Source organism: Homo sapiens, chromosome 6 (assembly GCF_000001405.40).
Source record: "Homo sapiens chromosome 6, GRCh38.p14 Primary Assembly".
NCBI classification, from domain to species: Eukaryota; Metazoa; Chordata; class Mammalia; order Primates; family Hominidae; genus Homo; species Homo sapiens.
Genome location: NC_000006.12, coordinates 116,138,198 through 116,164,904, shown reverse-complemented (window position 1 = coordinate 116,164,904; position 26,707 = coordinate 116,138,198). Strand labels below are relative to the sequence as shown.

Here is a 26,707-nt window from a genome sequence, read left to right as displayed (position 1 = left end):
TCACCATGTTAGCCAGGATGGTCTCGATCTCCTGACCTTATGATCTGCCTGCCTCGGCCTCCCAAAGCGTGTATCTTTTTAAACTAAGCTTCATAAATGAAGCAGAAATAAAGTATTTCCCAAACAAACAAATGCTAAGGAAATTTGTCACCACTAGACCAGTACACCAAAAATGCTAAAAGGAAACAGAAAGATGATACTTGCTACCACAAAAGCACACGTAAGTACAAAGTTCACACATCCTATAAAATAATTACATAATTGAGGCTACAAAGCAACTAGCTAACAATATTAGGCAAGGAACAAAACCTCACATATGCATATTAACCTTGAACATAAATACTTGAAAGAGATAGATTAGCAAATTGGGTAAGAAAAACAAGATTCAACCATCTGCTGCCTAAAAGAGACCCACATAATGTATAAAGACATACACAAGCTCAAAGTAAAGGGGTGGAGAAAGATATATCATGCAAATGGGGAACAAAAAAGACCAGGGGTTGCTATTCTTATGTCAGATAAAATAGACTTTAAACCAACAAGAGTAAAAAAAGACAAAGAAGGGTATGATACATGATAAAGACTTCAACTCAATAAGAAGATTTAACTATCCTAAATATATACATTACCCAACACCAGAGCACCCAGATTTATAAAAGTACTACTACACCTAAGAAAATAAAATAAAAAGCCATACAATAATAGTGGGAAACTTCGACATCCCAGAGAAAACACCAAACAGATCACTGAAGGAGAAAACTATCAAAGAAACTTGACTTAAAACGGGCTCTGCCAAATGGATAGACACCTAAAGAACATTCCACCCAACAACCAAAGAATATACATTTTTCTCATCTGTGCATGGAACTTTCTTTAAAATTGACAATATGCTTGGTCACAAAGCACATTTCAATAGATTTTTAAAAATCAAAATAATATCAGGTATCCTCTCAGAATATAGCAGAATAAAATTAGAAATGAATGCTGAAAGGAACTCTCAAAACCACATACGTAAATGGAAACCAAACAACTTGCTCTTGAATGACTTTAACAAAATTGAGGCCGAAATAAAAAAGAATTGGAAATGAATATAGACATGTAACATATCAAATCTAGGATACAGCAAAAGCAGTGTTAAGAGGAAAGTTCATAGTACTAAATTCATAAATCAAAAAGATAGATCTCAAATTCGCAACCAAATGATGTACCTAACAAACTAGAAAAACAAGAACGAACCAAACCCAAAACTAGCAGAAGTAAAGAAATAAAGATCAGAGCAGAACTAAATACAATTGAGACTAAAATATCACACAAGGGATCAACAAAGCCAAAAGTTGGTTGTTTAAGAAGATAAACAAAAATTGATAGACTACTAACTAGATTAAACAAGAAAAAAAGAGGACTCAAATAAGCACAATCAGAAATGATAAAGATAACATTAAAATTGATACCACAGAAATACGAAACATCATCAGAAACTACTATGAACATCTCTATGCATACAAACTAGAAAACTTAGAGGAAACAAATAAATTTCCAGAAACATACAACCTCCCAGATTGAACCAGGGGGAAATTAAAATCCTGAACAGACCAATAACAACAAATTATAAAATTGAATCAGTAATAAAAGATCTACCAACCAAAACAAACAAACAACAACAAAAAAAAACCCAGGACCAGGGGAATTCACAGCCAAATTGCACCATATATACAAAGAAGAGCTGGTATCAATATTACTAATATATATATATATATATATATTTTTTTTTTTTTTTTGAGACGGAGTCTCGCTGTGTCTCCCAGGCTGGAGTGCAGTGGCACGATCTCGGCTCACTGCAAGCTCCACCTCCCGGGTTCACGCCATTCTCCTGCCTCAGCTTCCTGAGTAGCTGGGACTATAAGTGCCTGCCGCCACGCCTGGCTAATTTTTTGTATATTTAGTAGAGACGGGGTTTCACCATGTTAGCTAGGATGGTCTCGATCTCCTGACCTCGTGATCTGCCCGCCTTGGCCTCCCAAAGTGCTGGGATTACAGGCGCTCTGAGCCACTGTGCCCGGCCTAAAAATACATATTTTTTAAATTGAGGAGGAGGAATTCCTCCTAAACTCATTCTATGAAACTAGTATCATGCTAATAACAAGATCCAGCAAGGATAACACAAAAACAGAAAACTATGGGCCAATATCCCTGATGAACGTAGATGCAAAAGTCCTCAACAAAATACTAGCAAACTGAATCCAACAGCACATCAAAAAGATAATTCATCACGATCAAGTGGGTTTTATTCTGGGAACACAAGGATGGTTCAACATATGCAAATCAATAAATGTGATTCACCACATAAACAGAATTAAAAACAAAAATCACATGATCATCTCAATATGCAGAAAAAACATGCAATAAAATCCAACATCTCTTCATGATAAAAATTATAAATAAACTAGGCATTAAAGGAACATAACTGAAAATACTAAGAACCATATTTGACAAAGCCACAGCCAACATCATACTTACAGGGAAAAATTGAAAGCATTTCCTTTAAGAACTGGACCAAGACAAGGATGTGCACTTTCACCACTCCTATTCAACATAGTAATGGAAGTTCTAGCCAGAGCAATCAGGCAGGAGAAAGAAATTAAAGGCATCCAAATCGGAAAAGTGGAAGTCAAATTATCTCTATTCACTGAGGACATAATCTTACATTTAAAAAACCCAAATGATTCCTCCAAAAGACTCCTGGACCTAATCAATAACTTTGCTAAAGTCTCAGGATACAAAATTAACACACCATAATCAGTTGCATTTCTATACACCAACAATGGTCAAGCAGAAAACCAAATAAAAAACTCAATCTCATTTACAATAGCCATAAAAAAACATAGACTATCTAGGAATACATTTAAGATGGTGAAAATCCCATTTACAATAGCCATACAAAAACATAAACTATCTAGGAATACATTTAAGATGGTGAAATACAAAGGAGAATTATAAAACAATGAAACTGTAGATGACACAAACAGATGGAAAAACATCCCTTGCTCATGGGCAGGAAGAATCAATGTCATTAAAATGACTATACTGCCCAAAGCAATCTAGAAAGTCAATGCAACTTCCCATCAAATTACCAATGTTATATTTCACAGAATTAGAAAAAACAATTATAAAATTCATATGGAACCCATAAGAGCCTAAATAGCCAAAGCAATCCTAAGCAAAAAGAATAAACTTGCAAGCATTACATAACCTGACTTCAAACTACACTACAAGTCTAATGTAACCAAAACAGCATGCTACTGGTACAAAAATAGACACATAGATCAATGGAGCAGAATAGAGAACCCAGAAATAAAGCCACACACCTGATCTTCAACAAAGTCAACAAAAATAAACAATGGGGAAAGGATACCCTACTCAATAAATACTGCTGGGAAAGCTGGCTATCTATATACAGAAGAATAAAACTGGACCCCTATTTCTTTTTTTTTATCTGCTTTATATAATTTTATTTTTATCTACATTGTTATATCAATGCATCTTTATTATTATTTTTTATTATTATTATACTTTAAGTTTTAGGGTACATGTGCACAATGTGCAGGTTAGTTACATATGTATACATGTGCCATGCTGGTGCACTGTACCCACTAACTCGTCATCTAGCATTAGGTATATCTCCCAATGCTATCCCTCCCCCCTCCCCCCACCCCACAACAGTCCCCAGATTGTGATGTTCCCCTTCCTGTGTCCATGTGTTCTCATTGTTCAATTCCCACCTATGAGTGAGAACATGCGGTGTTTGGTTTTTTGTTCTTACGATAGTTTACTGAGAATGATGATTTCCAATTTCATCCATGTCCCTACAAAGGACATGAACTCATCATTTTTTATGGCTGCATAGTATTCCATGGTGTATATGTGCCACATTTTCTTAATCCAGTCTATCATTGTTGGACATCTGGGTTGGTTCCAAGTCTTTGCTATTGTGAATAATACCGCAATAAACATACGTGTGCATGTGTCTTTATAGCAGCATGATTTATAGTCCTTTGGGTATATACCCAGTAATGGGATGGCTGGTGGACCCCTATTTCTTACCATATACAAAAATTAACTGAAGATAGATTAAAGGCTTCAATGTAAGACCTCAAACTATAAATATTATACTAGAAGAAAATCTAGGGGAAACTCTTCTGGACACTGGCCTAGGCAAAGAATTTATGACGAAGACCTCAACAACAAATGCAACAAAACCAAAAGTAGACAAATGGGACTTAATTAAACTAAAGAGTTTTTCTGCACAGGACAAGAAATAACACAGCAAATAGACAATATACAGAATGAGAGAAAATATTTGCAAACTATGCATCTGACAGAAGGACTAATATCCAGAATCTGTAAAGAAGTTAAACAAATCAAAAAGAAAAAAAACCACAAAAATTCCATTAAAAAGTAGACAAACGGATATGAACAGACACTTCTCAAAATAAGACATACAAGTGACCAACAAACATATGGAAAATGCTCAACATCACTAATCATCAGAGAAATGCAAATTAAAACCACAGTGAGATGCCATCTCATACCAGTCAGAATAGCTATTATGAAAAAAGCCAATAGATAACAGATGTTGGAGAGGATGTGGAGAAAAGGAAATGTATATACACTGTTGGTGGAAATGTAAATTAGTTAAACACTTTTGGAAAACATTATGGGCATTTCTCAAATAACTAAAAGTAGAACTACCCTTTGATCCAGCAACCCCACCACTATGTATATACATAAAGGAAAATAAATCATTTTATCAAAAAGATACCTGTACTTATATGTTTATTGAGCACTATTCACAATAGCAAAGTCATGGAATTGACCTAAGTGTCCATCAAAAGTTGACTGGAATAAAAAAAATGTGGTATGTATACACTGTGGAATACTACACGGCCATAAAAAGTAATGAAATTGTGTCCTTTGCAACAACATGGATAGAGCTGGAGGCCATGATCTTAAGTGAAACAACTCAGAAACAAAAAAACAAATATCGCATGTTCTCACATATAAGTGAAGTACACATGGACATAAAGATGGAAATAATAGATATTGGGGACTCCAAAAGGTGGGGGCTGGGGGAAAGCACATGTTGAAAAGTTACTTACTTGGTACAGTGTTCACTATTTGGGTAATGGGTTCACTAGAAACCCAAAACTCACAATTATGCAATATACCCACGTTAACAAACCTGCACATATATCCCTTGAATTTAACAGAAAAGGGGAAAAAGATGACAGCAGTGTTGTGTGTGCTGCAGGGAGCATAAAGAAAATTACAGGCTATAGCTACATCATACAGATTCAGCAAGTTTGCAAATTATTCACATGACATCCAGAATACCCGACAGATATAATGGTGAAAAAAGTCTGCAACATTTAAGACATTCTATAATGCATGGTATACTTTAACTCAGAGGCAATAAAGAACAAAGGAATGGGTAGAAAATGAATAATCACATGTGTAAATTCTCAAATAATTAGGATAAAGCATGTGAATTAAAAAACAGAAATAATGACTTGAAAGTGTCTTTTTTCTCTTTATGGAAAAAGAAAGTTATGTTTCTCTGGTTTTTGATAAGAATAAACCTCATACGGTGAAATCAATTTTTAAAAGGAGTAATGCAGAATAAAAATCCATAAAACTACCAAAAAAAGTCACATAATTGTATATTTAAAAAAACCAAAACCAAAAACAAAACATTGATCCCAGAGCAATGGCATAAGAAGATATCCTTCTGTGGAATTCCATAACATTGCTAGTTAGTAAGTAGACAGGAAGTAATTTCCCTAATAAAATGTACATATCATTTAGATTTATTAATTAAAACTACTGAAGAACTTGTATTTGAGCTATTCTAATGCAAGCATTCATGCCAAGGTGTCATTCCATTCTTGCATTTACACATGGGATCAAATAAATGAAATTCCCCAATCCCCATCTGCGTCTCAAAAAAGTCACTGACTGCTGGAAAACAACAGATATTCTCTCCTGGAAATGAATCAGAAGGCAAACCATCATTCGGTAGCCAGCATATGATTCAGCAGAGCTTTGTATAAAAGTATAAAGTTCAAAAGCAACCCCCAAAAAGCTCGGGAAGTAGTGGACTGTTTTTACCCCTCCTGGGATCACCACTGACAGCATCCATGAAGTTCTGACAGAAGAACACACCAGGATGACAAAGTAGTGACTTTTAAAGAGCAGCCAACAACAAGCATATAGGGAATCTCTCAGCAAATACAGGTAGGAGAAATTCAAACGTGTGACAATAGGTTTATGTAACCAATAATGTGACTAGATGAAAAACAGGGCAAAAATACTGGCTGTGACTATTTAAATAATTTCTCTGAAGAGATAAAATGTATTTAAAGAAAATGATACTTCCTTCTGTGTCTCATAAGATTGCTAAGTTTTTATCTTCTTGTCTTCACTAAGCAAAGGTTAAATAAAAAGTAAATCATTTATAAACTCAATACTTTTTTTTTTCTGGATTTGAAGAGAAGCTTGAGTAGGAGATTTAAACAGAAGGAGGAAAGCATCCATGTAGATGCACAGGACTAACAAGAAAGCTATTGTTTGAAATGCCATGTATCTTCATCGAGGTAGCACACTAAACTACTCCCAGATCTACACTCACTTGTAATACTAAACATCTCCCAACAATGACAGATAACCAGTATTGTCAATGTAGATTTATTTGTAATAAAAACTGTAGTAATTTGAACTCATTATATTAATAGCTATTGAAACTAGAAAGTTCTTGTAGTTCAGAGAAATTGACTTTTTGAGAGCTGAAGCTGCCAATATGTGATGCTTTTTCTTTTTAAGAAGTGGAAATGTCAAATGATCAGAGGAAAAAACTGGAAAGGGAAGTACTGAAAGATTTAATTGGAAAATATGCTGTTCATTTTTCTGGATGTTCCTGTAACACGTTTGAGACATTTTATTTCTGTACTTCAATGATATTATTACTAGCCTAAAAGACGTACAATACAAGGGATGAGAGGCTTTCAGAAGGATCCTGAATAGGTGAGTCAGGTCAGCTGGGTGGTCTTATTATCAGTTTTTGATTTCCCCGTTAGAGTCTGTTTGAAGTGAAGTGCCTTTCATCTTTCCACCCACTCTCACCATTTCAACATTCTAATTTAGTTCAACTGTTTTTATTCTGTTTTGTTAAAAAATGAGCCCAAATTTGGGGAAGGCAGGGAGACACCCTCTCTTGTGGTTTCATGTAATTTTTTGTTATGGTCTACTGGAAAAGAACAACTTTAAAAAATGCAATTTCACATACACTTGATCCCCCATTGGACTCAAATCTCTTCAACAATTCATGTTAATATTTTTCTAATTTAAAAAACTATTTAGTTTTAAGACTTCACTGATTTTTGGCAGGCAGCTTTTTCAACATAGTTTCAACTCTTTGAACCTGTCCCCATAGCTCTTTTCCCACTGCCTGAGCTTCCAAGATAGCAGTGGCCAAAGACTGTAATAAGGTGGAAGTCCATACAGTTACTTGTCTAGGGTTCCACTAACCAAGTTACGTTGACAACTGACTGGTGCCACACAATCTGACATTTTTACAGAAACTCAGAGCACTGTAATTAACTCAAGAGATATGGGGGGGAATCCTCATTTTTAAACCAAATTAATAATGAAAACATGAGGTAGAGGGAAAAGGGGCAAATATCTGGGATACACATATTACCAAAGGTTAGTTTTGCTTTGTTTTCCATATTCTCATACCCAAATAATCCATGTAATTGCAGCCCAAGACCTGGTCTCCTCCCCTCCATGTCTATTTGGTGGAAGGGAGGCAGTGCTATGAAGTGAACGCACTTAGGCAAAGAGAAAAAAATATCCAAATAAACAAGCTATGATGAGGAAAATGCAGCAGGCCTTCTTGCCAGGGAGTGAGTGGCTGGTCAATGCACCAGGGGCTACTTACACAAGCTGGGCTCCTGAGGAGAACAAAAGGGGTTGTGGCAAGAGTTGTGATGTAATGGGGCCGTGGGGTGGCCTGGGGAGAGGACGTGAAGCACAAAATTATTGCTATCTGATCTCTACTTTCTTCATATCCATAGATATCTTGGATATTACTCTTAAGTGTACTTCTTATTCAAGATATGCTGAAATTTAAAAGCAAATATTATGAAAGTACAATAAGAATATCTGCAGTGTCATTCCATCTGACTTCTCTCCCCTATCTCTACATGACCAAAGTCATCTTTCAAGGAAACTCTAAATTACCATTGCCTCCACGAAGACTTCCTTATGCTTTCTTTCATATATCTGCAATTAGCACATGTAATCGGTCTCCTCTTCCCTTACTTTGCCCATGTCTTCCTTAAGACGCATTCCTTTTTACTTTGCACTATACACAGCATAGTAATCCCTTATGAGGCAGACTATAATAAGCTAAGTGAAAGCAAAGATAATGGAACACATTTTTTTCAACCTCAAAGTGCCTACATAGTATTAAACCAGCAAACTAACTAATAAACGAAACACAACTAGTTGAATGAGATCTACAACCTAAAAAAAATTTTTTTTAACTCCAAAAACAAAGTTCATTAGTTTTGCCGGAAAATTAGAGAAATGGGTTGCAGAGGAGGAAAAAACTACAGAAAGTGAAGAGCAAACACAAGAAAACAGGGACAAATGGCAAATATTTTACTTATTCCTCCCCAAAATAAAAGATGATGGGGAACAGGAGACTGAAGATATGCTTTCAAAGAAAATATGTATTATTGACCTTTACATAACTTCAAGATTTTTAAGTGATGGCATGATTAGGAAAGTATATTTGTGACTATCATAATGTTTTATTACAGGAGATAAAAGCTACTCTTGAACTTGATTCAAGTCAATGTAATTTTTTTCTAGCCCATTCCCAACCCTAAAGCCTTTAGGTAACTGAATACATTTGTCTCTTGTAAATTCTCCCATTGTTTTTTTGTATAAACACTACCTCCACTTCCATTTATATAAAAGATAGCATAAAATGTATAAGCTCTGTATCTGCTCTTTAAAAAACATATACCCTGGAAATGTTTCCATTTCAGTACACACACAACTTCCTCCCTCTTTTTTTTTTTTTTTTTTTTAAGGAGAAGTACATTATTTCTTTGTGTAGATGCAGTGTTGTTTATTCACCCAGTGCCCTTTAGATGGATACCAGCCTTGCTTCTAATCTTTTGCTTTTACAACCTATGTTGTAATGGAGTAACCTCACTCATATGTAATTTCATTGACCTGCAGAATACTGATAGGTAAATACACATGTGATTTTGGATGGATTCAAAGTCATTTTAAATTGTTTAGATTGTTTGCTTTAGTCAAACTTCTTAAACTGGATTCAGTACGTATTACATGATATTCTTAAAATACGATTTTAGGCCATGTTAATTCACAATGGTCCTCTAGAGCACCCAGAAAGTGGCCACTGAATTCCAAAAGAGATGTTTGTGTTGGCGAGTGACAAAAACCAAAAAATAAAAACCACTACTATAAAGTGCTAAATGAATTGGTCATTAATAATAAGAAAGATTATTATTTTTCTCAGATTATCCCAGATATCTGGAGCAGTCTGGAGACATTAGGAAACTATATAACATGTAACCATCACGACAGTTGTCTAACAATGCTTATAAGCACTAAACCCATGCAAACTACTTGTAACCTTAACTAATCCAAATGTAGAAATACTTCAAGGCCATATCATACTCAACCACATACTTTGCCATTGAAAGTAATGGCAAAAACCGCAATTACTTTTGCACCAGCCTAATATTAAAGTCTGTATACTCCCTGTCAAACCAAAGTTCTATTCTGTTATACCAGCCTCATTTCAAACCAGCACAGGGAGTAAAAGTTAAACAGAAAGAACAATGTGGTTGTATATGGTTATTTATGGTTTGTTTTTTAAACTCCTAAATGATGTTTTTTATTTTTATCTTATGAAGAAAAATGATATTAAAACAATTCATTATTTTTGCTTACCTACAAGGCATCATAGGCAAGTCAAAGAAAGTAACAAGATGCCTCTGCTAAGAGTTATTAATCCTGAGGCGTAAACAAATCAAACGGTGCTTTGTTTTTAGTTTGATGAGTGAAATAAAATAGAATGAATGAGAAATTATTTAATTCCATCATCAAAACCATCCAAATATTTCTCAGGGAGAACCTCTCCCTTTCATAATTAAATTAATCTGTAAGTTTACCAAATAAACACCATGAACTGTGTACTTTCAAACTGTTTTAAACACCACCTCACTGTTCTAGCATTTTTTAAAAAAGCAAATACAAAGTTTTGTGTATTTTTTTTTCATCAGCATTTGTTGGAAGACTTAAATTAAGGTTAACATAAAAATCACAGAGCAGGAACATTATCACCTGTAGCAAGGAGTATAATGTGTTTGGGTGAATCTGTTGTCAGGGGCCAGGTAAGAAAACAAGTAATAACAATGTCTCCTTCTGAGGGGAAACTGGGTGACCATGGACGGTGTTAGGATACAGGAACAGAAAGAAATCCCGGCCTCAGTGACAACATCTTTTAAGCTAGACGAAACCTACTCCAGCTATGTTGATGTTTTGTTAAAATATTGAATATATTTATCAACTATTTTTAAATTTCACACATTTTAATTAAGTGTTTACACTACAATTAAATAGCCAAAAGTAAAATCAATAGACTCTTATTGCTATTCTGAGGGGGAAAAAGTACACTACAAATCAATGCTGATTTGAGAGCCATGTTTTAACATCTCTTTGGTCAATCACTTCAATTAGCCCATCACCAGACTCTGTCTCAAAAAAAAAAAAAAAAAAGAAATCTTCCCTTTAGGCATGTATTGTACATTCTATTTTCAAAGATGAACCATGCATTTTCCAAATGCAATACATACAGCTTTACACTGCAATGGTACTTGAAAAATCTTTTGGCACGTAGTAAGATTTACTTTTCCTTTTGATGCTTATTTTGCCAAATTGCATTTCTGTACATGTATCTTCAATAAAATCCACAGAGAAGGTAAGGAAACAATACTCAGTTTATCAAAACTTAGTCCCACAAGACTATTCATATCATTGCATAAAACATAAAAATGAATATGACTAAACCAGTAAGAAAGTTACTAGACTGAACTCCAACTGTCTGTTGCCAGTGAAACTGCCAATATTTGACTGTTTTTGACAACAATAGCAATTTTATATGCAACTTTTCTATTTCTGAAGCCTAACTAGGTACCTAATAGAGGTAACTATATTCCTGAAGCCTAACTAAGTACCTAACAGAGGTACTTATGACCAATCCTCGACTCAAGGAGACTTAAAAATTAGAAAATGTTTATAACTAAAAATTAAATGAATAAATGGCATATTATCTTCTATTATTTTGAACTCCAGTGGAATAGAGACTCTATAAAACACTATGCTTAAAGATAACTGAATGTATCATCTGACAACAGATATTAGATCTAAAATCGAGCTAAATTCACCCTCAAGATGTTTGTGAAAAACTTTTAGAGCTGATGTTTATGGGCAGTCTGTGTAAGAACATGATGTGAAAATACTCTGATCTTTTATGTGTCTTATATAACATATCTTATAAATAGAGCTAAAATCAGACAAGGTTATAAGTTTTATGATTTAAAAAAATTCTTAATTCTAATAACCCTACTCAAAAATTATGTTGTATATTTGTAGTATGTGTGAATATGTATGTATATACATATATTTGTGTATATATTTTTATATTAATATATCAGGGATTTTATTAAATGTTATATATTAGCCTACCTCAAGTGATTAAGATTTTACTTCTTTTCAAAAAACAATGTAGTTCAGCCATTTAGTGGTAAAGTATAAAGCAATCATTCCTCTGTATTTTATTATACTATAAAAATAAGACAGCAGTATGGAGGAGGATTATAGGTTATTTAAATTTACTTTTCCTTTTCTCTGGCGACATCATAGAGCACAATCAAGAACTCAGAGGCAATATAACTATAGAAAATAAATAACTGGATTTAGCAATTTGGAGTTTCTGGTTGACCTTATCAAGAAAAATGGAATGGTGCCAAGAACTATATTAGAGTTGTAAAAGGAAACCTAAGTATGGAACATTCTAACCAAGAAGTATGGCTGTAAAAAGATGGAGGAAAAAAGAAGAGAAGATACAGTAGGGCTGAAGAAGGGTTCTCTTTTTGTTTTATAGCATTCAAAGTCTTCATTATGTTAAGGGGTTAAATAAAGACCTGGTAAAGAAAGCACAGAGGATGAAAGTCCCATGTGAGATAGAGGGGAATAAATCCAGTACACAGGAGTCAGACTGCCCTGGAGACCCCATCGTGCCTCATTCTCTGGCACGGTGGGGTAGATAATCACCATAATAGATGAGTTTAAAGCTAGAGGACACAGGAGTTCAAAAGTTGTTTTCTAATTTTTTTTTCTTATTTTTGAAACAAGAGGCAAGGGAATCTACCTCACGGTGAAAAGCAGAGGCCAGAAAGAAAGGAATGGGAGTTAAATGGTACGATAAGTTGAAGAATCAACTGTTGTGTGCACCTTTAAGGTGTTAAAACCTTAATCATTATTAAATGAAAAAAATTAAATGCACAGCTCCTGTATTTTCTAATCATATATTCTCATTTCAAATTCTAAATCTTCAAACTAGTTTAAGAAGTCAACCATACTGAAAGTATAATGAAAACGAAGGCACTGCATCCTGTGAAAATAGATTGTGACATACAAATCTCACTCCACCTCCTCCAAAATTTCCATTTCACCTTCTGCTTTGTAAGGAAGAATGTAGTGAAATCAACCAGGTTACTATAATCCTGCATCTTAGTCAATTAGCTTAGTCATTAGCTTAGTAAAATAAGTGTTTTCAATAAAGTTGGCATCAATACTCCCCAAATAACATGTTCTTATAAAACTTCAGAAGCCAAAATAAATGCATCAGTGTTTCAGAACAAAAGAATATTTGATGAGACAAAACTATCAGTTTATTAATATCTCAATAAACCAAGAAAAGAGTACAGTGAAGTATTTTGTTGTTGCTGCTTTTTTAAAAAAAGTTTATTTGCTGTGGTAGACTAAGCTGGTATTTATTATAGAAAAGCTAAAATGAACATACTTAATTCCCATTATAAGTGGGAAAGAGAAATATAAAATTATGGTTTCTAACATATTATCTATAAATGTAACCCTAAATCCAATATCACATTTGCCATTATTTGCATGTACTGCATTCTCGAGATAACTCTGTGAATTTTAAAAGCATACCAACAGGCCACATATATACATTACTTAATAGTCTTATATTAACGAATTTAAACAAGGAGCAGCATGTAAGTGCTCAATGTATTTCAAGTAAATAAATAAATGGATAGATAAAATTTTACTCTATAAATGCCCTTTAACTATACAATCACTTAGAGGGTATAAACCAAAAACAATATGAGTTGAAAACATAAAGAATCTTTCTTCCTGTACAATTTTGAGAAAAAATTAGTTAAGAAAAATATGTGGAGTAAAAATGCACTTGCATGTATGAATGTTATCAAAGATGGCTGATATGCTCATCACAGGCCCACATATTCTGATCTCAGAGTCTTTAAAATGTGGGGGTTTGGAAGATGGGATTTTATAAGTGATGGTGCAGGCACTGAAGTTGGCAGGAATATGGGCTAGATAGCTGCCCGGAAGCAAAAAGAAGGCTGAGCAGATGATACAAATTGCAATTAGGAGCTGCAAATTCTAATCCCTGAGCAAATTCACAAAAAAATAAAAACTCAGAGATGTCAAGATTTCTATCAATGAGATAACATTTTAAATGCCACAAAGAGTTGTTAATGTCATCTTATTCACTCACCTGTCAAAAAATCATAAAATATACAATCTGCCATGTTTTACTTATAAAATTTAAATGTCAATCATAGTACCTAAAATCAACCTATGTAATGGTTAAATATGAACAATGTATTTATTACACAAAATTTGATGTGACATTCTCAAATTCACATTTGATATTCACTAGATATATAAGACTCCAAGGTTCTCCAGCTTCCTTACCTTCAGATATTTTATTAGATTACGACCTTATATGACAGACAGCAATAATAGCAAACAACATCAAATAAAAACTAGCTTACAAAAATACTGCTAGACTAATGCTCCAATCTCTGAAAGTTAGGTAAAGTACCTAAAACTCACTCTTGTCCAGGGACTTCTATTTCCACTGCCCCATTCTAATTTAAAACCCCATTTTCAAGGCCAGGTGCAGTGACTCACGCCTGTAATCCCAGCGTTTTGGGAGGCCGAGGCAGGTGGATCACTTGAGGTCACACATTCGAGACCAGCCTGGCCAACATGGTAAAACCCTGTCTCTATTAAAAATAGAAAAATTAGTTGGGTGTGGTGGCGGGCACCTGTAGCCCCAGCTACTTGGGAGGTTGAGGCAGGAGAATTGCTTGAACCTGGGAGGTGGAGGTTGCAGTGAGCCAAGACATGCCACTGCATTCCTTCCTGGGTGACAGAGCAAGACTTTGTCTGAAAAAATAATAATTAAAAAGTTAAAATAAAAAAAAAACCATTTTCTTAACTGATCTGTCAGTGGCCATGGGCTCCCTCAGCATGCTCTCCATGTGAAAGCCATAGTAATGTTTTAAAAACATACATCTAATTGGTCACTCTTCTGTAAAAATTCCTTCAAGACTTGGCCTCTCATTGCCCTTGTCAAAGACTCGACTTTTTATCAGGGACTAGAAAACAACATGATCTAACTCCTATTCTCTAAACTTCAACACTTATGGCCCACAAGCCTTCTCTCAGCTCCTCAACAGTACTTTGGGGGGCAGATGTCAAAGGGAGACATCATAGGGAATAAAGGTACACCAATGTAGCAACACTTTCAACCTTACCTACCTGTGAGTGGGGGAACACTATGCTTTAGATAAAAAGCCGTTAAGTCCTAATGCTGGTTTGTTGTGCAAATCAAATTCCTTATCTCAATTTCCTCACCTCTAAAGAAGGGAGACTCATTAAAAAGATTTCTATTTGAATCTTCAAGCTGTCTGATTTCATAACTCTTTCACCACTTATTTTATGTGGAGATCCCAGATTCAAAAGTTCTACCCCAATCTCTAAACTGATTTGGTGCATCAACACTAAGTTCAAATATTGCCTTTTTAATTCAGTGTCTCCACCAGGCATTTGGGCTTTTTTGGAAAAACAATTTCTCCAATAAAGTCTAGATACCCTTTCGACAGTCATCCTTTGGTTCACCTTTGTTAAAAGCATTATGTACTTCACTATTCAAATACCATTCTGTTTTGAAAGCTCTGTCTCAGACTCAAGTTACTTATCCTACTAAAGTAGCCTTTGAATAGGTTAGTGTTCTCTTAGTACTGGCAGGGAAATAATTTAGAAAATCATAATCCTAAAAATGCAGAGCCAGTTTGGTAAAGACACACTGTCTATTTGATTTCCTGTCATACGTACTGGAAGAATAAGTTAGTATACAGAAATAGCTTATAATATTCTGAAATTTTGCAGTGATGAAAACATATACTTAAGCTATTATTTTAAAAATTCTTAATTTAAAATTCTGGAAGTCACCTAGTAACTTAAATTGTGTCAAACAGCTAATAATATCATCCACACCTTCAAATTCTGTACCAAATGTATAATTACTCCAAAATGTCCTGCCAGGCAAAATATATTCTGAGAACTTTGTTGACTTACTGTCCACTTGAATTTATCCATGAATTATGCACCTGTCTTATTGTAAAGAAAGAAAATTTAAAAAACACATGGAATGGGCTAAAAATCCAAACATCAAGGAAAGTCTACAAAGAATTGTCAATTCTCATCACTTAAATGTTTAGTATATTTCTAGAGATTAAAAACAAAAGACTGGCTTCTTGGAATAAGCTGTAACTTATAAATTGGTATCATGTAATACATGTATTTTAAAAACGTTTCTTTGGCTAGACCCTTATTTTCCCTGTTATGCTTTACTTTTGACTTATAGAAATGACTTACCTGTAACCCACTCAAAATATGGGTTTAAAAAGTCAGTACACTCACATATATCTGAATAATAAACAGTATTTTGCTCAATTACTTATCTCTCATAGAGAAAGACAAAAAATTTCTCAAAAAACCATTTTAATTATTAATGACGTTGTTATATAAACCATCCAACTTTAGTCATTTCTTAACCAAAAAAAACCTGATGTTCTAAAAAAATACATATAATAAACTGTTATCATAGTAATACTTCTATTAATTAACATGTTCACATTCTGAGTACAATGAAAATCAACATCCACAGTGACGATCCTAAGGCACTGCAAGATTGGGTAGTACCAGCAAAGGAATATAAATTAACTGTAATTTTAGGATCACAGTTGTCTATCACTGTATTCAAATGTTCCAAAAAGTAGACAATCTTTGGATGGCATGTATGGTAAATTGCAATGAAAACAAATGCTACAATATTTTCTATTTTGCTTTTTGTCTTTTTGTAAGGATTTTTAAAAATATGATGTGTTTTGGAATAGATAATGCTTGGTACAACATTCAAAATGTAAAGGCTGGCATACAATGAAAAATAATTCTCCCTCCCACCCCTGTCCCCAACTTACTCAATTTGCCTCTCAAGATGCAAGCACTATTACTAGTTTGTCTATCCTTATACAAGGAATATGAGATATTCTGTGTTACATACATATCAATTATGTATCTTACACAAATGCTGTATACCATCTACTCTATTCTATACACTTCTTTTTCTACTAAATATATTCTGGATGTCTTTTCATAGTCCACAACAAGGTGCCTCCAACCCCCCCCACCTTTTTTTTTTTTGAGACAGAGTCTCGCTCTGTCGCCAGGCTGGAGTGCAGTGGCGCGATCTCAGCTCCCTGCAACCTCCGCCTCCCAGGTTCAAGCGATTCCCATGCCTGCCTCCACCTTTTTAATGACTGCTAATGTAGCTAGTTCTTATGAATGAATATTTGAGCAGTTCCTTCTTCTGCTATTACAAACAATGGTATAATCAATAACCCTGTATATACATCATTTGCACACATGCAACCGTATCTGTAATATAAATTCTTAGAGATATAATTCTTGGGTGAATGTGCATTTAACATTTTTAAAGTTTATATAAAGTCTTGTAACAGTTTCTATTTGCAATTTCTCATTACAAATAAAACTAAATCTTTGCATAGGTTTAAGGCCATTTATAATTCTTTATCCATTATTCAACTGGGTTATTGTTTTGCTTTAAATACTTTTTAAAATGAACTTTTTATAACTTCTTATATATTAGGACTATAGCTCCATTACATGAGTTGGAAATTTTTCTCCCAGTTTGTCATTTATCTTTTTATTTTTTTTTTCTTTTTTGAGATGTAGTCTCGCTCTGTTGCCCAGGTTGGAGTGCAATGGCAGGATCTCAGTTCACTGCAACCTCTGCCTCCCGGGTTCAAGCAATTTCCCTGCCTCAGACTCCCAGGTAGCTGGGATTACAGGTAGATGCCACCACGCCCAGCTACTTTTTGTATTTTTAGTAGAGTCGGGATTTCACCATGTTGGCCAGGCTGATCTCAAACACCTGACCTCAAGGTGATCTGCCCACCGTGGCCTCCCAAAGTGCTAGGATTACAGGTGTGAGCCACCATGCCTGGTCCCAGTTTGTCATTTATCTTTAACTTTACTTGTATTTTTCTTTATATGCAGTTTTTTTTTAATATTGTCAGATTCATACATCTTTTCTTTTATAGTTCTGGGTTTGAGGTCGTACTTCAAAGGCTTTCTGACTACATGATTAAAAATATATATATATATTTTATATTATTTTATACATATATAAAATATTCCCCTACCTTTTCTACTGGTAGTTTTATAATTTATTTTTTAATCCATAGACCTTTGATCTCTGTGGAATTTATTTAGGTATTAGGTGTGAGGTAGGGCACAACTGTATTTTTTCAGATGGCTATCCATAGGCCAAACACCACTTATTGAATAATCTGTCTTCCACTGATCTGAAATGCTATCTTTTTCATACATTAAATTTCCCAGTCTTTTTGGGTCTATTTCTGAACTTTCTATTCAGTTTGAATACCATGACACTTAAACAATGTAGATCAAAAAGATTTATAGCATACTTAAGTTTAAGAAACATAAGTTATAACATAACTATAGGAAACTGTAAGATACAGATAAAGTAAGTATTTTCCCTAGATTTATTCCTATTTAATTCATTTAACAATAATTTATTTAACCTTCTCTTCCCCCTGGCACATACTTTCTTTTGTTAAGGCGAAAGTTCCAAGTGGCCAGCTAAGAATTTCTCTGGCTTTAATCCAAAGGGATTTCTTTCCCCCATTTTGAGTAAAGCAACTCCAGTTATTTACTTATTGTCATGGAGCTTCTGAGAAATTCCTTCTTACCCCTTTTATCTGAAGTTGGGAGGTCAGAGTATGATAAAGTCTATTTAGCAAGCTGTCTAAAAATCACAGGTTGACGCCACCTACTCAAAAAGTACATAGCCACCTTTGTTCTGAAGCCTAGATAACTTTTGATTTGCTTGATTCCCTTTTAACCACACAATGGACTTAAATCTCAGGTTATCTATATTCCTTTATCATATCCCCAGGGACTCTTCCTGCCTCAAACTGCCCACCACACCCACCACACAAAGCATGAAAGTTTTTTTTCATTAGTATTAACTGTAACCATAATCAACAAGTCAGGCTGTGGGACACATGGCTGGTAACCGTGCATATGTTAACTGTGATAGGAAAACGAGGAGGACATCCTTTTACTTCTGTGGTGCTTTCCAGAAGTAAGTAAGGAAAGATTTCTGCCTGGCACAGTGCTCTGTACAAACACTAGACTGCATACCAAATTGAAAGAGTTACCAAAGACAAAACAGGTGTTTGCTGCTCTCAAATACCATCACATAAATGTTAAAACAAGTTCAGAAAGTATCAAAAATTTGGTTTCATTAGTTCACAATTTTGAGCTATATTACTGCTAAAAATAAAATAGTAAATTAAAAACTAAATAAAAAATGAATTGGTAAGTATCTGGAAATGAAAAATAAATTCAAAAAATGAAACAAACTATTTTTTATTTTATAGGATGGAAGATACAAATTTGATTTTCAGATCACTGGGGATACTTTAAAGAAAACTCTAAAATGTTAAGAGTAGATTATGTAACATTAGTAAAAAAACAAATATTAGGTAAGAGGTGAAGGGAAAACAATCTCAAGAATAATCCATAAGATGACAATAGCAGGACAGGAGTTCTAATGAAATAATACAGGACCCACTTTAATCTCTTAAATAAGTATGAAACTTGTAGATATATCCTGAAGCAAGGATGTGGCCAATCTTCTTACTAAGAGATAATAAAGAACAGAAAAAGTTTTGCATTTTGAAAATCAGCATTTCTTCTTACCATCAATTTAATGTTGATTTTTTTTTAGCATTTCATAGAGTTACTGAACTCAGATCTTATGCTCTGACAAAACGTATGATAAGGGAAACACTGTTGCCCATTCTTTTTATCATATCACACCTTTCTAAACAAATTCTTTTGGGGACATTTAATAGTTAGCTGTTATCAGTTGTCCTCTGTTGAGGACAACTGTCCAACTTCTCACTGCAGAGTGAGGAGGAGAGTTTAAAGAAGCTTTCAATCTATTATAATGCTTCAAGACAGAAACCAGAAGTTCTTATGTCCTATAACTTTGCTGATATATTAGATTTAAAAGGCATTCCATTTCTCATGTATCAATCTGATGTACGAATCAAATCTATAATTGGTACATAATACATTCTCTAATTGAACCCTTTTCCCTCAGATCACTTCTTCACTGCTGGCAACTAGCACATTTTAGAACAAATCCAGTAACTTTCAACGCCATCAGCCTAAGATCCCCTGTTTGAAAACGTCTGTTTTTGAACTATGTGCCAAACAGAGCTCTCATTCTCCTATCATGCATATTTGTGGCTGGGATGTGGTGAACTAACTCACAGTTGTCAGGGACAAATACCATTGGCTCACCACTCCTGGTTTACTTCCTGCTATCCCACCCACTCCCCTTAGGGAACATGTTACTGGTGTGAAGTCTAACAAACAGTTGTCCCAAAGTCTGGTGTGGATTACAAATAAAATCTAAGAGTCCGTTTACTAACTCATTAAAAATCAAGGTTAATTTAAATACACCCAAATATTTGAATTCTAAACTTAGAGTCATATATTTAAAGTAATATAGAAAACCAGGAGAAACTCATGAAAGTTGGTGTTCTCCTTTTACACTTTTTTTTTTTTTTGAGACGGAGTCTCGCTCTGTCATCAGGCTGGAGTGCAGTGGCACAACATCAGCTCACTGCAACCTCTGCCTCCTGGGTTCAAGAGATTCCCCTGCCTCAGTCTCCCAAGTAGCTGGGACTACAGGCGTGCACCATCACGCCCAGCTAATTTTTTGTATTTTAGTAGAGACAGGGTTTCACCATGTTGGCCAGGATGGTCTTGATCTCCTGACTTCATGATCCGCCCGCCTCGGCCTCCCAAAGTGCTGGGATACAGGCGTGAGCCACTGTGCCTGGCCTCCTTTTACACTTTAATGTTGTAAGAAGAATATGTTTGTTTTCATACTGTCTGTTATAAAAAGGATTCCAATTACATAAATCCCCAGAATATCCAAATATCTGACTGCAGAATACCCGACACCACCAATACATGAACTCTGAATATCCTCATTATAAAAATATAAAAATGATTGTATTTATTTGGCAATGTGTGTGAAAAATCATAATGATAAAGCTCCTAATCTTTCTAAGTTTTTTCTCAAGTTATAAAAAGGTTTAAGACATTCTACTCACATCAGTTCTTTATTATAAAGCATTACAAATATTTTGGTAATTGTTACAGATTAAAATCTAACAGAGAAAACACAACACAACCAAACACTACTACAAACTTGACAATGTTGCAATAAATGACAGTCCTAATTTTTCTTGATTTGATTATAATAAAATGAATTACTATAGCTAATTTTGTTGACTGAATAACTTACTTCCTAGGCTTATCCATAAAACAATCACTTATCTTTAAAATTATATATCAAACACCCAAAATGCAAAACAAAAAAGTAATGCAACAAAATATTAAATTAACAGCAATAAAAAATGGCACACTCTCATTCCTTAACTATAGCTAACAAGGACAGTGTGACTTGGAAATTTTCATAGGATTAAAAAAAGTTTTAAGTAGTAGAACAAATTCAACCTGAACAAAAACAATTAAAGAGGTGGGAAAGGCCGGGCACAGTGGCTCAAGCCTGTAATCCCAGCAATTTGGGAGGCCCAGGAGGGCAGATCACAAGGTTAAGAGATCAAGACCATCCTGGCCAACATGGTGAAACACCGTCTCTACTAAAGATACAAAAAAAATTAGCTGGGTATGGTGATGCATGCCTATAATCCCAGCTACTTGAGAGGTTGAGGCAGGAGAATTGCTTGAACCTGGGAGTTGGAGGTTGCAATGAGCCAAAATCGCGCCACTGCACTCCAGTCTGGCGACAGAGCAAGACTCTGTCTCAAAAATAAAAACAAAAACAAAAGAGGTGAGAAAATGTAGTACTATCTCTTTTAATATTATCTATGTTTCTAAAAATTCCTTTAGTGTTTATCTATGCCAGAGGCAAATTTATCAGGCATTTTAATATTATTTCTAAATATTATTCAAAATAACAAAATCCGGTCTCCAGGAATTTCCTAGTAAGAGCAAAAGGACAGAACCATAGTCTTCTTCCAAATAAGACACAAACCATAATGTCTATAATTTTATCCATCAAATTTTCCCACCATGAAACACAGAGAATAGTTAATCCAGATTTTTGGATTTTGCTTTGGAATTTGTTTGATTTCCATGTATTCAGACTGACATATATGTGAAGCAACTGGGACAGATGTAATGAAGGCATCAGAACACGAAAATAACTTTTAGAACTGATAAATACAGAACCTTACATCTTCAGTCTGAGCCAGACAGTTCACAAGAAACAAAAAGAAACAAGAAAAGCAGTCCCAAATTCTATTTTTCAAGGTTGGAAGAACACTATTAATATATTTCACTGCTTCCTGCTTATCTCAGCCACTGCCATCGACTGCTTTAAGCTATCATTCTATCAAGATGCCCAGCTCGCTGAAGACATTCCTGACTCTAAGGAAAAAACACAGTTTTTACCACACACTGTAAATTAAGTACCTTATTTTCCTGTATATGTTTATTTTCAGATGCTAACAAATTTCAACCAAATAATCAGAAGTAAGTTTATAAATTCATTTAACATGTTTTAGGAGTGAAACATGAGTTTAAGAGTAGAACTAGCATTGATGATATATAAAATAATTAAATGTAAAAAATGAAACCTGAAAGAGGTGCTTTCAAGTTTATGTGGTTTTTATGTTATTAATTTTTTTTTACAACTTGAAATCTCTACTACATTTTCCTAAGTATATGCCAAATAAATTGAAAAAAAAAGCAAAAATAGAATTTAATCAAATAGTTTATGGTGTTTTGTCTTTTACAATTAAATTACTAAATTTGGTCCCACAACTTCTGAAAAATAAAATGGAACAACTGTGAACTATACTAATATTAGTTTCATATATTAGAAAGAGTATCCATTTAGTTCCTACAAAAAAGTAGTTTTGTAAATATCAAAGGAATAGGATCCTAATATCAATTCCATTTGTTACCATGTACAAATCAGCTATTAAATGAAACTCAGAAGTAACAAATCTTTTTTTTGAGTTTTCATCTAAGTAACTTTGTCAAAATTTTCCTGAAACAGGAATTCCTATATATTTTCTAGACTAGGAACATCTCACATTTACAGTGTGTGTGTGTGTGTGTGTGTGTGTGTGTGTGTGTGTGTGTTTTCTTTTTGGCAGAAAATCTTTTACTGAAATAAGACTCTATGTAAGGATTTTCAGTAATTAAATGCTTATCATAATCCTCAACTGGAAACATTCTCCTGCTGGAAACCAAAACAAAAAAAAAAAACAAAAGAAGAAAATGTGGCACTAGTTATTATCACATAAGAAGCAAAGTAACTTTTTCTTGAATTCAAATGTTGAATATAAACTTCTGTTAATGATTTACACAGAACCTTTGCAAGTAAACCTAGAATCAGAAATTCTATTAAAAGAATGGTCAACTAATTCCATTAGAAAAAGGAAGGTCATCAAAAAAAATTAATGAAACATTCTCTACCATCATTCACAAGGGTGCCACGTTTTTTCTTGAATATACAATGACTTGGAGTCCCACTGGAAAGTTGGGAAAAGAACAATGTAAGTAATTTATTGAATCTCAATGAATTATTTTGAACAATGGAGTCTTTCTTAGATAGAAGTTAACTGCAGATAACACATAAGATGCCCTAGAGAGAGTGAACATGTCACAAACTGGAAGTATCTGCAACACATATAACTAACGAAAATAAATATCAAAAATATGTAAGAATACTAAAAAAACCACCACCACCAAAAAAAAAAAATCTGATAAAAAGTAGGCAAAGGTACAATCAGGTATTTGAGAGAGGAGTAAACACAAATGGCCAATCAACATATAAAAATAATGCTCACCATCATTCGAATCAGTATCATACAAATACAATAAAATGAGACAGCATTTTACAACCACTGGTTGGCAAACCTTGAAGTTTAAATGACACCAAGTGGGTGTACCCTTATACCCTGCTGGTAAAAACATGAAACAATTTAGAAAATAATTTGGAATTAGCCAGTGAAGCAGAAAAATATACATAGTTAATATACCACTCCTAGGTATACTTCCTAGAAAGATTCTTTTGCATGCAGCCAGGAAACATGTACAAGAAGTTTCAGAGCAGTATTATTTTGGATAGCTAAATATCCATCACAGATAAAAAAATTCTGATAAACTCACACCATTGTAAACTACAGAGCAGTGAAAAATGAATAAACAGCCCCACACATCAGTATGGACAAATCTCAAAAACACAATGTTACATCAAAAAAGTAAGTTGCAGAAGCAGATACATACAGTGTAATTCCTTTTAAATATATAATTTAAAAACATGCAAGAAAAACATTATTGTGGATGGGATGTGGAGTGGTATACTTTCTAGAAGGACAGAGGGAATAAGACTCAGCATAATTAACTACATGAGGAAACACAGGGAATGCCATCAGGGAGATGGCATAGGGGTTTCAAAAAGAATGCTAATGTTAAGTTTCTTTTGCTGGGTAGCAGATACACATACATGTGTTCATTGAATTAATATCCCTCACCTTTAGCATAAAAGAATGATATATACTATACACATATCCAAGTTTTCCCAATTTTAAATATTGAAAAAAATGGGTACCTGTTCTTGAAAATTGTGGAAACCAGGAATGTAAGGCAGAAAAGAGAGGTGTGATGTGCCCAGAAGAGCAAAGGTGGTGCTCCCACTCTGAGAAAGTATATTAGCTAAGTGATGTGTAACTGCTACCACGGCATTTCAGCTAGTTTGTAAGGGATGGAACATAAGCATAAGTTGATGGCTTTAGGTAACAATGAAAGGAAATTAAACAGAAGAGGAATACTTGAAAATACCTGAGAGCATGCACTGGTGGAAAAATGCCAAAGTAGCCTTTGAAATTGGTGTCCATAGGAGGGCGGCATTCAACTCTCCGCTCTGCCACCTACTGGCTTTATGAACCTGTGGAATTCCTCAACACCTTGGGCTTCAGTTTCCTTACAAAATAACAGTGGTAATATCTATCACGTAAGTCTCTTCTGGATCAAATAAGAAAAGCAAAACACCTGACACATGGAAGACTCTCAATAAACACAAGTCCAATCTGAACACAAAGTTGAATCAGACCTAACTATCATGAGAATCATAGAATGTTATTTTTAAAATGAGGGACAGAAGACTCAAGTGCTGTACTAGGTCTCAAAGACACAACTTTTATACAAATGGCCCTCACATTGAAGATGTCTTAATATTAATATTTATAATGCCTTTTAAGCAAAAAACTGTCAAATTCCTATTTCTCTCCTTACTCCCATGACAAGAAAGATCTAAAGAACCATAGCTCATAACATGACCCACATGTGTAATTTGCAAATCAAAAAACTAGATCGTAAAGTGCCATAAAGTAAAACAACCAAATTTTAAAAACTGGAAGGGCTCTTTACTGTCTTATAAAATGTTTTTTAATATTCCAATACACTTATTAACACTGCAAGTAAAATGCATTTTAAATGCAGTTCAATATCATTACACTGTAGTATACAATGTGTATTAAAATGTACAAGAATTTTGTGGTATCGACACTGAAAGTTAAAAAAAGTATACAAATAGGTGGATTTCAAATACAATTGTTCTCAATATTGCTTTGGAGTCAGCTTTAGACTGTATTATTCAAAATATAATAATTGTATTATCCAAATTCTACACAAGAGTTTAATCATCATTTGTACCAAATAACACAGAATTTATTCTTTAAGTTAATTACCCACAAATTGTTACTAGTAGACTGAGAGACTTCTTTCCCCCAAAAAATCCACACTTTGATAAGGTCAGTTACTTCCCATGGGCTCCAAAACTCTTAACATTTTCCCCCAATATTCTTCTACTAGAATTTTTGCCAAATAACTCTTTATCCTTTTTTCTGTATTTTTAATAGTTGTGCTATAAATCATAAGAATACATCTTTTTTTGTAGTTGCACTATTTTATCAGTCATTTTCTAAATCATGTATGATCAAAATATCATTTACTAAATTAATCTGAAAAAGTTCTACTCTGCTGCAATTATACAAATCCTACTGGTCACAAAACTAATAATGCAATTATAAACTAACACTTACCAATGTGAGAAATCAAGATTTATGGGGAAATCAAACCAAAAGCAAGACTGAAAAAATATTCACTATCTATTCTTACTCTCTCAATATCATAGTTGTAATCAAGAGCATTCCCCTGCCATATTTAACTCATGCTAAATATACAATTCTATACAAATATAAATACTACAAAATGAAGTTCTACATGTACCCCATTAGTAAGGATTCATATATTAGTAATAATTCAAAAGTCTCCCAAAATATTGAGAAGTTTTTAGTCATACTATTCTGCCTTTTAATCATTATAACAAGCCATGATGTCCTAAAAAATAAGCATGTTTGACACTTCTTCGAAATAAAAACAAATATATCGACATTCGCACTATTTGCTTTTCAATTAGCTTCGTTTTTAATTAGCAAATTCTGAACTAGCCCATTTTAGAACTGAAACAACATAGCTCTTTCAATTGTAAAGAATTAAAAACAGTGTTCACCAATTTGAGATGGTTTGGAAAGCAGACGTAGTGGGATTACACTTTCACACAAATCTTAACAAGGAATAGCCAACACAGTAGTTCCTAGTTAAGTAGTGCTATTCTTGGAATTATACTGTTTCTCATAAATCCTAAAGAAATATATCCACAGAAAACAGTCGCTTTACCATGGTGATCTTGGCTAGGATGCTTAACCTCTAGGCCTCAAATTCTTTATCTCTAAAGATGAGAATAATAATAGTACCTACTTCA

The 26,707-nt window shown here is 34.1% G+C and overlaps 2 protein-coding genes across 5 annotated transcripts in view, besides 2 other annotated features; one reads left to right on the top strand and one right to left on the bottom strand.

Moving 5' to 3' along the window:
- The window catches only part of NT5DC1 (5'-nucleotidase domain containing 1), a 148,645-nt gene that overhangs the window by 84,593 nt on the left and 37,345 nt on the right, over positions 1-26,707 (bottom strand). The gene's annotated exons all lie outside the window — the stretch shown is intronic.
- The window catches only part of COL10A1 (collagen type X alpha 1 chain), a 98,236-nt gene that overhangs the window by 52,240 nt on the left and 19,289 nt on the right, over positions 1-26,707 (top strand). Inside the window, exon 1 of one of the 3 annotated variants that reach the window (NM_001424106.1) lies at positions 6,133-6,291. The exons of the other annotated variants lie outside the window; for them this stretch is intronic. The gene's annotated coding sequence lies outside the window, so the exon portion shown is untranslated. Of the gene's footprint in view, positions 1-6,132; positions 6,292-26,707 lie in introns of those variants that run through there. 3 annotated transcript variants of the gene reach the window in all.
- Positions 12,072-12,272: a silencer, noted in NCBI's record as "peak6050 fragment used in MPRA reporter construct". NCBI's record gives its function as "represses an SCP1 promoter by STARR-seq MPRAs in K562 erythroleukemia cells {active_cell/tissue: K562}" and the evidence as "EXISTENCE:reporter gene assay evidence [ECO:0000049][PMID:32103011]".
- Positions 18,808-18,977: an enhancer, noted in NCBI's record as "experimental_88113 CRE fragment used in MPRA reporter constructs". NCBI's record gives its function as "activates a minimal promoter by MPRAs in K562 erythroleukemia cells, with activity observed for both the introgressed and non-introgressed 6:116467176 variant alleles {active_cell/tissue: K562}" and the evidence as "EXISTENCE:reporter gene assay evidence [ECO:0000049][PMID:34662402]".